The sequence below is a fragment of the Homo sapiens genome, chromosome 1 (assembly GCF_000001405.40).
Source record: "Homo sapiens chromosome 1, GRCh38.p14 Primary Assembly".
NCBI lineage: Eukaryota > Metazoa > Chordata > Mammalia > Primates > Hominidae > Homo > Homo sapiens.
This window is the reverse complement of record NC_000001.11, coordinates 36,532,316-36,548,879: the sequence shown is the minus strand read 5'-3', so window position 1 is coordinate 36,548,879 and position 16,564 is coordinate 36,532,316. Positions and strand designations below refer to the sequence as shown.

Sequence of the window (16,564 nt, the reverse complement as noted above, 5' to 3'; positions counted from 1 at the left end):
TATAAATAGAAGAAATGTATTTCTCACAGTTCCGGAGGCTGGGAAGTCCAAAATCAAGGTCCTGGCAGATTCAGTATTTGGTGAGGGCTTACTCTGTGCAGGACAGATGGCACATCGCCGCTGTGTCCTCACACGGTGCCAGGGGCAGGAGGGACCTGGCACCTCCCTCCAACTTCTTTAATAAAGGCACTAATCCCACTCACGAGGGTGTAATCTTCATGACTTAATCACTTCCAAAAAGGTCCCATCTCTTAGTACTATCATCTTGGAGGTGAGGTTTCAACATATGAATTTTGGGGGTACACCAACATTCAGACCATAGCATATGCTAATAAGATGACTGGTGGCTGGCAGGCCCTAGACAGCTTCAGAATGACAGCTTCAGAAACACCAAAGCATGATTAAAGGGTTGGGACTTCAGCCCCAACCCCCAATCTCCAGGGAGGAAAGAAGGCCTGAAGGTTGAGTTAAGCACCAATGGAATAATGGTTTAATCAATCATTCCTGTTTAATGAAGCCTCCATAAAAATCCAAAAAGACAATGTTTGGAGGAGCTTCCAGACTGCCAAACACACGGGATTCTTGGAGGGTGGTATATCCAGAGAGGGTATAGAAGCTCCATGCACTTCCCCCATGCCTTGCCCTATACATCTCTTCCATCTGGCTGTTCATCTGTATCCTTTGTAACATCCTTTATAGGCCTGATGCAGTGACTCATACCTGTAATCCCAGCACTTTGGGAGGCAGAGGTGGGAGAATCGCTTGAGTACAGGAATTCGAGACCATCCCAGGCAACGTAGTGAGACTCTGTCTCTACAAAAAAATAAAAATTAAAAATGAGCTGGGCATGGTGGCATGTACCAGTGGTCCCAGCTACTCAGGAGGCTGGGGCAGGAGGATCACAGGAGCCCAGGAGTTCAAGGTTGCAGTGAGCTATGATCACTTCACCGCACTCCAGACTGTGTAAGTGAGACACTTGTCTCAAAATTTTTTTTTAATTTAAAAATAATTTTAAATTTTCAAAAATTCATTAAAATAAGTTGGTAAATGTAAAGTGTCTCCCTGAGTTCTGTGAGCAGCTCTAGCAAATTATTCAAATCTAAGGAAGGAATCCTGAGAACCCCTGGGTGGCCAAAAGCACAGGTCATACCTGGGGTTTGCAATTGGCATCTGTGGTGAGGGGGAGTCTTGTGGGACTGAGCCCTTAACCTGGGCGGTCTGAAGCTATCTCCAAGTAGACAGTGTCAGAATTGAATTGAATTAGAGGACTTCCAGCTGGGGTCCACTGGAGAATGCGTGGTGTGTGGAGAAACAACCCACACACATCTGGTGTCAGAAGTATTGTGTTGAGTCGTGTGTGAGAGTAGGAGAAACACTTTGGGTTTTAGCCATAACACCAATTCAACACAAACTCTCCCAGAAAATTAAAAAGGAAAGAACACTTTCCAACTCAGTCCATGAGACCAACATTACTCTGATGACAAAGCCAAAGACATTACAAGAAAGCTACAGACCAATATCCCTCTTGAACATATATGTAAAATTCTAAACAAAATCTTAGCAAATCAAATCCAACAATATATAAAGTGGATAATACATGATGACCAAGGAGGTTTATCCTGGGAATACAAAGTTGGTTTCACATTGAAAATTAGATCAATGTAATTCATATTAATTTCCTTCTGTTATAGAACAAATTACCACAAACTTTGTGGATTAAACAACAAAAAATTACCTTACAGTTTGGGAAATCAGAAGTCCAAATGGATTTCACTAGGCTAAAATCAAGGTGATACACGATTGCATTAATCCTGGAAGCTCTAGGGGAGAATATATTTCCTTGCCTTTGCAAGTTTCTAGAGGCTGTCTCCCTTCCTTGGGTCATGGCCCCGTCCTCCATCTTCAAAGCTGACAGCATAACATCTCCAAGTCCCTCTGTTTCTCTCGCACATGCTTTCTTCTTCTTTTCTTTTTCTTCTTCTCCTTCTTCTTCTTCTTCTTCTTCTTCTTCTTCTTCTTCTTCTTCTTCTTCTTCTTCTTCTTCTTCTTCTTCTTCCTCTTCTTCTTCCTCTTCTTCTTACTCTTCTTCTTCTTCTTCTTCTTCTTCCTCCTCTTCTTTTTCTTCTTCTCCATCTTCTTCTTTTTCTTCCACCTATTAAGGATTCTTGTGATTACAGTGGGCCCACCAGGATAATTGAGGATACTCTCCCCATGGCAAGTTCCTTAATTTAATCATCTAAGCAAAGTTCTTTTTGTCATGTTAGTTTCACAGGTCTCAGGAATTAGGACATGGACATCCTTAGGAAGCCATTATTTGGTCTACCACACAAAAAAAGAAAAAACATGTGATCAGATTAATAAATGCAGAAAAAGAATTTGACATAATCCAATATTCATTTATGATTTTAAAAAAACTGAACAAACTAAAAGTAGAAGAGAACTTCCTTAAACTGGTAAAGGGGATCTTCAAAAAAATCTACGGTATCATTATTCAATGGCTGAAGGCTGAAGACTCTCTCCTTAAGATTGGGAGCAAGGTAAGTATGTCCACTCTCTTCACATAAACTGAACACTGTACTAGAGATGTTAGCCAGTGCAATGAAGCCAAACAAAACAAAGAGTTTAGAAAAAAAAAAAGCATTCAGATTGAAAAGAGGTAAATACTTTATTCACAGATAACATGATTATCTATGTGGAATATACAATGAATCTACCCCAAAAAGCTACTAGAACTAATAAGTGAGTTTAGCAAAATTGTAAGATAAAAGAAAAATATAGAAGGCCAGGCATGGTGGCTTATGCCTGTAATCCCAGCACTTTGGAAAGCTGAGGTGGGTGGATCACTTGAGGCCAGGAGTTTGAGACCAGCTTGGCCAACATGGTGAAACCCTGTCTCTACTAAAGATATAAAAACTAGCCGGGCATGGTGGCACATGCCTGTAATCTCAACTACACGAGAATCACTTGAACCCAGGAGGCAGAGGTTGCAGTGAGCTTAGATCACACCACTGCACTCCAGCCTTGGTGACAAAGTGAGACTCAGTCTCAAAAAAAAAAAAAAAAAGAAAGAAAGAAAAATATAGCAAAAAAAGTGTATTTTTATGTACTAGCAACTAACATTTGGAAATTGAAATCCAAAAATCAATACTACTTACAATAACATCAAAAATTCTTAAATAATTAGGGATACATCTGACAAAAAAATATGCAAAACCCATACCTTGAAAATACAAAATATGGGTGAGGAGAAAATAAAGAGGATTTAAATAAACTGATATATCTTGTTCATGGGTTGGAAGATTCAATATTATTAAGATGGCAATTCTCCCCCCAAATTAATCTAGGAATAGAAGGGAACTTCCTTAGCCTGATAAAGGGCATCTACGGAAAAACCTACCGTACCATTATACCAATGGCTAAAGGCTGAATACTTTCTCCCTAAGATTGGGATTAAGGTAAGGCTGTCCCCTCTCAAAATCAAATCAACAGGATTTTTTGTAGAAGTTGAAAAACTGATTCTAAAATGTATATGGAAATGCAAAGGACCTAGAACTGTAAAAACAATTTTTAAAAAGAACAAAGTTGGATGACTAATGCTATGTGATTTCCAGATTGATTATAAAGCTACAATAATTATGACAGTGTGATATTGGAGTAAAGATAGACATATAGAACCAAGAAACAAAATAGAAAGTCCACATATATATAATATATACGTATATAATATATACACATATATCTAATATGTGCATATATAATATATATATTATATATGTGTATATATTATATATTATATGTGTATATATAATATATATTATATATGTGTATATATAATATATATTATATATGTGTATATATAATATATATTATATATGTATATATAATATATATTATATATGTGTATATAATATATATTATATGTGTGTGTATAATATATATTACATATGTGTATATATAATATATATTATATATGTGTATATATAATATATATTATATATGTGTATATATAATATATATTATATATGTGTATATATAATATATATTATATATGTGTATATATAATATATATTATATATGTGTATATATAATATATATTATATATGTGTATATATAATATATATTATATATGTGTATATATAATATATATTATATATGTGTATATATAATATATATTATATATGTGTATATATAATATATATTATATATGTGTATATATAATACATATATATATATTTTATATACACATATATATACAGCTGCAGGGGCAACGATAGCTGCCAAGAGAGTCCCTGAAATAGGAAGTCTTCCAGCTCCCCGGGGTCTCCAGCATCCCCTGAGGGCAGATGAGAGATGGAGGAGCCCCAACCCCAAGGGACATTTAGCAGAGTGGTTAAGACTCTAGCTCAGGACCCCAGTTTAAATCTAGGCTTCCCATTTACTAGCTGTGAGACTCTCAGTAAGCACTTTGCCTCCCTGAGCCTCCATTTCCTGTTCTCTAAAATCGCATATATATATATAGTGTATATTCCATATACATTTTAGAATATATATGATGTATATTCCATATACATTTTAGAATATATATGATGTATATTCCATATACATTTTAGAATATATATGATGTATATTCCATATACATTTTAGAATATATATGATGTATATTCCATATACATTTTAGAATACATATGATGTATATTCCATATACATTTTAGAATACATATGATGTATATTCCATATACATTTTAGAATATATATGATGTATATTCCATATACATTTTAGAATATATATGATGTATATTCCATATACATTTTAGAATATATATGATGTATATTCCATATACATTTTAGAATATATATGATGTATATTCCATATACATTTTAGAATATATATATAATGTATATTCCATATACATTTTAGAATATATATATGGCAGATTATATTGTGCATATATATATGGCAGAATTATATTGTGCATATATATATATGGCAGAATTAAACACTCCATGTTTGTTTAATGAGAGGAATGAGCCAGTAGTAAATAATGTATCTATAAGGATGAGCTTTCACTTGGTCCAGCTCCCTGCACCCAGGAAAACATGTACATAGACCCCAAAATATAACAGTCTGAGGACTGAACCCAGAGCCATCCACCAGTCAGAGGTTGGGAGGAGGAGGACCTCCCAGAGACTGAGAAGGGGCAGCCAGGGAGGTGAAAGGACAAGGGGGAGAGGGATCCCTGGAGGCTGAGTGAAGAGAGTGTTTCAAGGAGAAGAGGATAATCAGCTCTCAGATGCCACCAAGAATTGAGAACTGATGACTGAACTGGCAACTTAGAGGCCACTGGGAACCCAGTGGACCGATGGGGGACAAAGTCTCACTGGAGCGGGCTCAAGAGAGAATGAGAAGAAGGAAGTGGGTGATGGAGAGGACGGGTGATTATTTTCAGAGACTCTGCTGAGAGAAGAGAAGATACAGCGCCAAGGAATTTTTTTAACAACAGAATTAATCCCATACCATACAGGTCAGACAGACCTGTAGATCATAGAAGAGAGCACAGAGTGCCCCCACCGCTGCTGGGGCTGGAGTGATCCCCCAGGGCTCAGGCCACTACTCAGAGAGCCAAGTTGGGGCAAGGGCCAAAACTGTGGGGCCAAAGCGGGGGATGGTCTAAGAATGTTCCATTAAATGTTCTCCTGCCCCAGAAGAGTCCCAGACACCCAGGCACTGCTTAGGGACCACTGTCCCTCCACGTCACCCCAGCCTCAGCTCATGCTCCACCTTCTGGTGAAACAGTAGATCCTCCTTTGAGAACTTGCCTTCCAGGGTCAGTGGGATCCCAGCAGAAACAGCTGGTGCAGAGAAAAGTATCCTGGCTTTAGAATCATAAGGACCCAGACCTGGACTCAAGTACCAGTCCCAGCTCACTGGAGGACCCTGGGCAAGTACCATCACCACTCACAGCCTCCAGTTCGTCATCAGTAAAATGGGAGTAATAATTCCATCCTCCCAACATTGTGGTGAGGACAGCAGGAGAAAATCTGAGTGCAATGCCAAGCACGGGGGACAGCCCGAGGGATGGCCCAAAGCATAGGTGATCCTTTCGTTCTTTCCCTTCCAGCCTGTTCCCTGGGACTCCTGAGGGGCTCTCCTCCCACTAGCTTACTCCCATTGTGGGTCCCCATTTGGCCCTGGAGGTCTCCAGCTCCTCTCCTGCTTCTGCCCTGATGTGACAGAGTTTCATGGCTGGGGCCAGCCAACCCACGACAGCTGTCAGGGCAGCAATAGCTGCCAAAGGTGTCCCTGAAATACGAAGTCTTCCAGCTCCCCACGGTGTCCACAACCCCCTGAGGGCAGATGGGAGATGGAGGAGCCCTGGCCCCAAGGGATGTTTAGCAGAGTGGTTAAGACCCTAGCCCAGGACCCTCGGTTGAATCTAGGCTTCCCGTTTACTAGCTGTGAGGCTCTCAGAAAGGCGCTTTGCTTTCCCAAGTCTCCGTTTCCTGTTCTATAAAATAGCGCCTACTTCACAGAGTCACCATGAGGATTAAATGACATAATGCATGAAGGTGTTTACCCAGCACTGGGTCCATGGGGTGCACAGTACATATGGGCCATGCTGCCATTACTGGCTCCCACCCAGCTTTCCCAGGGGCTGGTGCCCCCACCCACCTGGAGCCTGAGTTTCCTGTGAGCCAAGCCTGGGTTGAGAGAGCCAGGTAGAGGCAAGGTCAGAGGCTGCTCCCTCCGCTAACACAGTCCCACCTGCATCCACAGCTCAGGCAGGGGCTTCATACTAATAGAAATCCCCTAATCACCTGCTCATCACCTCTCCAGTATCTCAGACCTGCACCTCTCCCAGCCAGGGCCCCTCCTGCATTATCCCTGCTACTCCTGGCTTGGGAGCAAGATGGGACCCCATAGAGGGGCAGACACCACCTCCATCTTCCTCGGATGGTATAGTCCAGCAGTTGAGAGTGTAGACTGCCTGACTCTGCCTCCTACTATCTCTGTGACTTCAGGCAGGTTACTTGGCCTCTCTGTGCCTCAGTTTCATAATCTATAAAATGGGGCTAAGAATGGTACCCCTTCATAGGGTTACTGCATAGATGAATCAGTGTGAAGTGCTTGTAATGGTGCCTGGCACCACTAAGTACCATTCAAGTATTTGCTGTCTTCTTGCCATTATTATATTTATTCAGTACATGTCCAAGTGCACAGTAGGTTTCAGGACATGCTTGTTGCGTGAATGGATAGATGGATGGATGAACGAATGAACCAACTAGCCTCTAAGGGTTCCTTAGTTCACCGATAACTGATAACAAAGGCTATGGGTTTTGAGCGCCAAGTAGGTGCCAGGTGCTTCATGCCACATGATCTAACTGAATCCTCACCACTGCCCAATGAAGTGGGTATGATACGCCCATTTCTCAGATAAGGAAATCATGACTTAGAGGTTCACCTGTCCACAATCCACAGTGATTTTTCCTCCCATTTAATTTTTAATTATACATATGATACAAAATCGCTGATGAAAAAATTCTGAAAAGAAGCAAAATAAAAACAATAAACATAAAATCACCTGAGATTCCACACCCAGAAATTACCATTGTCAAGTGTTTGCTGACTAACCTCTAGACTGTCTTCGTGCAAATGTATATATATATATATCTTTTTTTTTTTTTTTGAGATGGAGTCTCGCTCTGTCACCCAGGCTGGAGTGCGGTGGCATGATCTCGGCTCACTGCAAGCTCCACCTCCCGGGTTCACGCCATTCTCCGGCCTTAGCCTCACGAGTAGCTGGGACCAGAGGTGCCCGCCACCACACCCGGCTAATTTTTTTGTATTTTTAGTAGAGACGGGGTTTCACCGTGTTAGCCAGGATGGTCTCCATCTCCTGACCTCGTGATCCGCCCACCTCAGCCTTCCAAAGTGCTGGGATTACAGGCGTGAGCCACTGCGCCGGGCCTGCAAATATATTTTTTTAACAAAGATGGGCTCACATTATGCATACACTGCACTGCAACAGAGTGTGGCTCTCTCTATGTCAATAAATATGTACCACCGGCAGCAGCTAGGATTCCATCGTAAGAGCCAGACCACAATTTATTTAACCAATTTGCTTTTGTGGGATATTTAGGCTGACCCAATTTCTCACCATTTTATGTGATGAATATTCTCCTCATCCATACAACTTTCTGAACTTGTTCAATTATTTCCTTAGCATAAATTCCTAGAAGTGAAATTTCTGAGTCAAAGACAATACACTTACTTAGGGCTTTTCATATACACATACTGCCAGATCATCTCCCAGAATGGTTGTACCAATTTCCACTCCCACTGGTGGTGAATGAGACAGGCCACTAATATTGAAGATATGAAAAACAGATCAGAAGTGGTGTATTAGCTGGAATGGCTGGGCCAAGCTGCAGGAACACATTTACCCCAAAATCTCAGTGGCATAACACAACAAAGATTTCTTTCTGGCCCACAGTGCAGGTTCGACCGGGTTCAGCAAGAGAGCCTCTGCTTCCCATAGTGGAATTCGGGGACCTGGACTGACAGAGTGCTACCCTGCCATTATAGCTGTGCCATCTGGAACGTGGGACCTCCAAGATTGCCCCGGAGTGGGAAGAGTGAGCGCCCAGCTTCTTAAATGCCTTGCTCAGGAATGAGACACGTCCTCTCCACTCACTTCATTGGTTGGGACTATCTCGAGGCCCTGTCTAACTGCACGGGGGCTGGATAGTGTGGGGTTCCAGGCGTGGAGGAAAGAAAGACAAACCTGATATACACAAACCTCAGTGATGTCTGCTACAAATGGTAAAGGTTAACATCATGGAAGGCTTCCTTGGGCAAAATAAACCTGAGTTGAATCCTCTTGTGACCTGTACTGGCCCCAGTGTCACCCACTCTGGTGTGGCTTTTCTTAAGAAAGAATTGTTTTGTCTCAGTGTAATGAAGACAAGGGGAGGACCAGGCTAGTGAATCGGGCAGTGAGGTGGTGACACCTTCTCTCTTCCCTGCAAGGCAGCTCACCTCCAGTGCTTGTCTTGGGATCCTCACCAGAGCGATGTGGACTCCAGGAAGGCTAAGAGTGAAAAGCCATGCAAGGCAGTGCAGGAGCAAAGTCCATGAAAGTCCTGCCTTTTGTAGGCCACTCAGCCAGCCCCTGACCTGACCACAATAGAGAATAGCATGAGGTCAACCCATGCCAAGATCAGGTGCAAACAGAAAATAGTGGTAAAAATGAGAGATCTGGAGTGAGGCTGCCTGGCTTTGCAAACCAGCTGAGCCCCTTACCATTTCTGTGGCCTTGAGCAAGTTGCTTAACTTCTCTGCATGTGTTTCCTTATCTCTACACGGGGATAACAAGGGTAACTACCTTCAAGCACTAGCATAAGGCTTAAATAAGTTCAATATTCATTTCTTCATCGAACAACCACACACAGACACCCTTATATCTGGCACTGGGGATACAGAGATTAGCAAAACAAAACCCCTGCCCTTAAGAAGTTTAATTCTCTTAAGGAAACAGGCAACATATAAACAACAACAAATAGCACAGTATTTCAGGTGGTAATAAGTGCTCTGAAGAAAAATGAAGCAGGAGAAGGGAGGTAGACAGTGATGAGAAGTGCTTATATTTTGTCCAGAGTCTTTACCTCTGTAAAGTGACATTTGAGCAAAGATCTAAATGAAGTAAAGGAGAGAACCATGTGGCTATCAGGGGAGTAACGTCCAGATGGGAGGAAGGGTGGGTGCAAAGGCCCTGGGGCAGAAGCATGCCCACAGTGTCTGAGGACCAAATATTGCTGAGGAAAGTGAGCAAGAGGCATGCCAGGAGACTAACCTAGAGAGGTGCCTGTGGCCATGAGAAGGACTTCAGAGTTCATTGCAGACAAGATAGGGAGCCACTGGAGGGTTTTTCATGGTGTTTTAAATACCATGTGACTGGCCAGGTGCTGTGGGTCACACCTGTAATCCCAGCACTTTGGGAGGCCGAGGCAGGTGGATCGCCTGAGGTCAGGAGTTCGAGACTAGCCTGGCCAATATAGTGAAACCCCATCACTACTGAAAATACAAAAAACAATTAGCCCGGCATGGTGGCGGGCGCCTGTAGTCCCAGCTACTCAGGATGCTGAGGCAGGAGAATCACTTGAACCTGGGAGGCAGAGGTTGCAGTGAATCGAGATTGTGCCACTGCACTCCACCCTGGATGACAAAGTGAGACTCAGTCTCAAAAATAAAATAAAATAAAATAAAATAAAATAAAATAAAATAAAATAAAATACCATGTGACCATACAACACCAAATGCCTGATACATACATGCTCAATAACTATTTTCATTGATACCAGTGATTGTGGTGATGATCATGATGATGACCATCATGATGGCCAAGGCGGGGTATGGTTAGGGGCAGGTGCTGAATCTGCATATACCATAGAGGTAGAGACAGAAATCTGGGAAAATATAAAAATATGTTTCCATGAACTCCATCATTCTCTGTCCTTCCCACCCTCTACCCATCCCCATCCTGTCCTTCCTTCTGATCTCAATCCCCTAAGGTAAGTTGTTATGGGATGAGAGGAAAATAAAGATTTCTCTTTGGGCGTTAAAAGCTATTTGCAGTGGGATTCAAACAGTGTTGAGGGGGGAGACAGACACAGCCAACACCAGACATCTGACAAGATGGAACTCCAGATGGCAGTTTCCCTTTGCGTTACTTAGGGGACTAGAGGCAGGGGAGAAAGAACGGGAGGAAGAAGAGAAATGGGAGGCTATACAGGAAGAAAGGGGAGGGGCGAGCAGTGGTCTGGGGGAGGGACCCCAAGACCAAGGAGGCTGGCATTCTCCAGCCACTTGGAGGGCACCCATGCCCAACAGGGGCAAGGCTGTAGGACCTTGCCCAAGGTCATCTAAGTGATCTGGGCACAGTCTCCTCCCCACCTGCAGTCCCATCCCAACTGTAGATATTTGTTGGGCGAGAGGGGCATTCCTAATGTCTGCCCCTCCCCAATGCCTAGACAGAGAGTAGGACTAGGAGTGTTCCCTCGGCGGCTGGGGATGCTGTTCCTTCATAAAGTTTCCTGTCCCTCCACCCACTGGATTTGCTCTCCTTGATCTGCACATATGCACACACATGTGTGCACACACAAACATGCTTACACCTGTGGGACAATGGAGTCTGCCAGTGAAAAGTGAAACCTCTGAAGGCAGACTAACCTGGGTTAAAATCTCAATTCTGTTTCTCATTTTTCTCATTGCTGTGTGACCTTGGGCTAGTTTACTCTCCTCTCTGAACCTCAATTTACTCATCATGGGTTGTTGTGAGGATTAAATGAGTTAATCTGTAATAGAAGAACATAGAACAGTATCTGGCACATAATAATAAGTGTGTGCTGCCATTATTATACATATTGACACAGACTTTCATACAGACTGCCTGGCTTTGCAAACCGGCTGAGTACCTTACCATTTCTGTGGCCTTGAGCAAGTTGCTTAACTTCTCTGAACGTGTTTCCTTATCTCTGCATGAGGATAACAAGAGTAACTACCTCCAAGGGCTAGCATAAGGCTTAGGTAAGTTCAATATTCATTTCTTCATTGAAAAACCATATATAGACACCCTTAAGTCTGGCACTGGGGATACAGAGATTAGAAAAACCCTGTCAGTGTGCTCATGGGTTAAGTTTTTGCTCTCATATGGGAGCAAAAACTTAATCCATGTGCACACTCAGTTATGCAGACATGCACAATGGACACAAGTGCCATCAAAACCCAGCACATCTGCACACCCCAAAGCAAGAAGTCAGAAGGAGGTGTTCCTTCTGAGCCAAGCAGGAATTGTCCCTTATCAGCCTGCAGAGACCTGGCCCACAGGGCACTCTCCCAGTGGCCCCTCAGCCAGCACCATGGCCCAAATCCCCCAGCCCCACCCAAGGGCCTGCCATCCAGTTTTCTTTCCACTGGTAGAATGACTCCAACCCAGCCCCCACACACAGACAGAAGGCCAGGAGCCCCCGGTGGGCCTGGAAGCAGCAAGGGTGAGTGCCTTAGTTTGTCTTCTGCTACTTAGAATACCTAAAACTGCAAAATGTATAAAAGAAAGGAATTTATTTATTTCAGTTATGAGAAATCCAAGGTCCTCACATCTGGTGAGGGTCTTCTTGCTGGTGGGGACTCTATGTAGAGTCCCAAGGTAGCACAGGGTATCACATGGCAAGGGGGCTGAGGTGCTAGCCCAGATCTCTCTTCCTTTTCTTATAAAGCCACCAGTTCCACTCTCATGATAATCCATTAATCTGTTAATCCATGAATGGATTAATCCATTCATGAGAACAGAACCATCATGACCCAATCACCTCTTAAATGTCCCATCTCTCAATACTGCTACACTGGGAATTAAATTTCAACATGAGTATGGAGGGGATAACTATTCAAACCACAGCAGGAGCTTCCTCTGGGCCCACCCCTTAGACCTCTGTTCCAGCACAGGAAGCCCTTGATCAAACTCCCCTCCAGCCCACCTCCATCCTTCCCACATGCCAGATTCACCTTCTCAGATCCCTACTGTGACCCTGTTCCCTGTCTGCTCAAGAGCCTGCAAGGACTCCCCAAAGAGTGGGAGTAAAAGCCACATTTTTAACGTGGTATTCAAGGTCCTTCAGACCCGCTCCCAAACTGTCCACTAGCTTGGTGTCTTCTATTCTATGTAGTTGCTCTTGACACCTGCCGTAGTTCCCCACCTCCTGTTCTTTCTGCCTACAGTCACCTGTCACCTCCCTACTCACCTTAACCTAAGGAAGCCCTTAAGGACAAGCTCAAAATCTACTCACTCTATGGAGCTTCCCATAAACAATGAAGGCCTTCCCATAAATGTCTGCAGCCCTTAGCCACCTGCCTCTGTGCTCCACCTGCCCTAGGCACATCATTTACTTCTCCACAGCCCACTGCCTGCAATTGCCCTGTAAATACACAGGACAGGGACCTGGTGCCCTTCGCTCCAAGATCCCCAATCTGGCAACAAGGAGAAGGTACAGAATCATCATCATTATTATTAAATAGTTGTATGAGGAAGAAAAGAAGGGATAAAAGAGGCCAGGTGCGATGGCTCACGCCTATAATCCCAGCACTTTGGGAGACCGAGGCGGGTGGATCTCTTGGGCCCAGGGGTGTGAGACCAGCCTGGGCAACATGGTGAAAAAAAATAAAAATTTTAAAAAAAGAAGAGAAGAAGGGAAGAAAGCAGGTAGAAAACAGACCATTATGGACATAGATCTAGAAGCTGGCCTTCAGGGAGAATAACATTTATTGAGAACTTAGCTGCCAGGCACTGTTCTCATTGCCTGTCCTATGAAATGGGTGTTGTTATTCTCCCAGTTGTATAGAGGAGGAAACTGAGGCACAGAGAGGTTGTCTGAAATCACTCAACCTCTCTCAGTAGAGAGAGATAGAGACAGAATTCAAACTCAGGAAGACTGGCTGATTGCCTGTTGAAAGGCAGATTTCTTTTTAAAAACTAGAGAACTGGGATCTCCTGGCCTCTTAGCAGGAACTCTAGATAAGCAGCAGGTTAGTTCGCTGGGAAGGCATACCAGGCTAAGCTGGGTGACCCAGCGGGCCGTGCCCGGGGCCAGCGTGCTTGTCCTCCACAGCACAGAGAAAGCCACTCTGCTTCTGTCTGACTCACAGCTGCCCTAACTGCCCAATCTACACAGGGCTGAACAAACAAACGTGACCAGGAGAGAGGAAAGATGGAAGCTCAGGTAGAAAGTGCAGCTGGAAATGAGCTCCTCTCCCCAAGCCAGATGAATGCAGTCTCGGGTCTGAGTGCGTGCAGGCTCAAGCATGGCTGGTGTCAGCAGCAAAAGGACTCAAGCCTGGAACGGGTGGTGGCCTTCTCATATGGGGCTGCAGATGCAACTCTGGCTCTCCCAAAGGGACATGGATTCTAGAAACCATAGGCCAGGGGCTTACAGTCCTTGGCACCATCAGCATCAGCAACGACCTCGCCCACAAGGGCACATTTGCCACCTTGCATAGGCCCAGAGTGTGCTGGGGACTTTGGGAGAGACAAAACCAAGTGTTGCTCACAGAGACACTGCTGATGGCCCCTTAAAGTCATCAACTAGGACAAACCAAATTCGAACAAGGATCCAATCAAGGCTGTGGTGGGAAATCCATACAGAATGAGAGATTGGCTTTAAAACATTTCAAGGCAGTGAGCTGGCCTGGTGAAATAGCAACCTTAGCCATCAGGCTCAGGGTAGGGAAGAGTCCCTACCAACATCGAGGTGCCAGAGCTCAGCTAAAAATCCATGACTAAAGGGAGCCAGCCATCACTCTTCCCCCCAGCTTTGGGCCAGGGAAGTTGATGGGCACATACGAGTTGATGGGAGAAGACCAGAGAATAAAATAAGCAGAAATAGATGTTCCCACAGAGCACCGTGGGAGCCCAGAAGAGAGAGAAGTTAATCCCGCAAAGCCCCAGCAAACTCCAAAGTGGATCAAAGAGCTTGACTGCGAGGACTCTGAGACGCTGTGACCACAGCTCAGCCAGTGACTTGCATTTGCTATTTTGGAGCCACCCAGCCATCAGGCAAAGCTACAATCTTCAGGTACATGGATTGCAGAGCGCTTTTAACACAAAACCTCATGATCTCCTATGGGAATAGGATCACAAAATGGAGGTGGTGAGAAAAGAAAACTTTTGATGACTCTTTGTCTGGTGAAGCACCCTATGCTAGGCTCAGGCTGCATGGGTCATCACATGTGGATCCAAGTCATCCACACGTGGATATAGCCACAGCTTGGATATAGCCAGAAAAGTTACCCTAATTATATCCCCAGGGGAGAGAAAAATACGCCCGCAACAACAGTGCATGTTGGCAGTGGTCTGAGAATCACCATTTGGCTATGATAGCCATGTCCCAGTTGGGACTGCCAGTGCTGGCCTCACAGAAGTCCCAATACACCAAGTTATCTGGTAGCAGAGTGGTGTTTCTGCTGTGTGTGAGTTCAGCTGGGATATTTACTGGCGGCATTCAGCTGACAAGTGGATTCGGCTGGAAGGTCAAGGAGATCTCATTCATTTGTCTAGTGCCTCAAAGTTGTTCCACATGGTCTCTCTCATTCCATGTGGCTAGCTTAGGCTTCCTCACAATATGGCAGTAGGATAGTCAGCCTTCTTACATGGCAGCTGCCTTCTAAGAGCAAGTGTTACAAGCAACAAAAGTAGAAGTCGCAGATCTCATAAGATTTGGCCATAGAAATTACACGGCATCACTTTTGTTATTGGTAAAAGCTGTCAGAGGCCAGCTTAAATTCAAAGAGAAAGAAAATACATTCCACCTCTTATGGAAGGAGTGGCAAAGAATGCATGGCCATCTTTAACCCACCATAGAGACCCAGACACTTGATGGGGCCACATTCTAAGCCCAGAATAGCTGTTCAAAACCTCAACTTGTCCAGTCCAGGGTAAAGAAAACTGACTAGGGAAAAACGCACGTGAATGCTGGGATAAAGGGGCATGCATATTACCCAGATTCACAGCTGGAGCCTTAGAGAATGGGGGATCCCAGATGACTTCTCCTTCCATAGCTTCCCAGACCATGAGAGCAGGAACTGACCACCTATATCTTCCAATGCACCTGCCCCCAGGGCTAAGTCGGGGTTGAACACAGGGGGCCAGAGATGGGGTATGCAGTGGGCAGTGGTGGTCACTGGCTTTAGGATCCTTCCTGGGCCAGGCTTTTCTTCTCTGCCCAACTTTTGGAGACTGCTGAATTGGGAAGGACTTTTACTCTCATTGCTCAAAGCCTGGAGTGACCCACTGTGATGGTTAATTTCATGTGTTAACTTGACTGAGCCATAGGGTGCCCAGATATTTGGTCAAACATTATTCTGGGTGTGTGGGGGTGGAAAGGTAGGTGTTTTCTTAATGAGATTAACATTTTAGCTGGTAGACTGAGTGTCTGAGATAGGAAAAAACCAAACTGTGTTTTCTACTCTCACACACAGTTAACAAAATACTCTTAACACAGAACACTGCACCTCTGGCATCAAAAATCCCCACACACAACCATTTCTGCAGTGGAGTCCTCTTATTCAATTCAATTCTGACACCATCTACCTGGAGACAGTGTCAGATCCCACAGGTTAAAAGCTCAGTCCTACAAGACTGCCTGAACTCCAGATGTCAATTGCAAGCCCCAGATCGTTTCATCTGTGCTTCTGACCAAAAAGCCATAAATCAAGGTTCCCACAGTCCCCTCCTCAGGTTTAATTTGCTAGAGTAACTCACAGAATTCAGGCAAATACCTTACTTATGTTTACTGATCTATTATAAAGTATATTACACAGGAGATGAACAGGCAGATGGAAGAGATTCATAGGACAAGGCATGTGGGAAGGGCTGCAAAGCTTCCATGCCCTCCCAGGTGCACCATCCTTCACATGTTCAGCTGTCTGCAAGCTCCCCACACCTTGTCGTTTTGAGCCTTTATAGAGACTTCATTACTTAGGCATGATTGAGTAAATCATTGGCCACTGGTGATCAAC

The 16,564-nt window shown here is 44.1% G+C and overlaps 2 annotated features.

The window, feature by feature from the left end:
• Positions 13,494 to 13,994: an enhancer, noted in NCBI's record as "H3K27ac hESC enhancer chr1:37000487-37000987 (GRCh37/hg19 assembly coordinates)". NCBI's record gives its function as "activates a minimal SCP1, AML or CMV promoter by ChIP-STARR-seq in naive H9 embryonic stem cells {active_cell/tissue: H9 hESC(naive)}" and the evidence as "EXISTENCE:reporter gene assay evidence [ECO:0000049][PMID:30033119]".
• Positions 13,995 to 14,495: an enhancer, noted in NCBI's record as "H3K27ac hESC enhancer chr1:36999986-37000486 (GRCh37/hg19 assembly coordinates)". NCBI's record gives its function as "activates a minimal SCP1, AML or CMV promoter by ChIP-STARR-seq in naive H9 embryonic stem cells {active_cell/tissue: H9 hESC(naive)}" and the evidence as "EXISTENCE:reporter gene assay evidence [ECO:0000049][PMID:30033119]".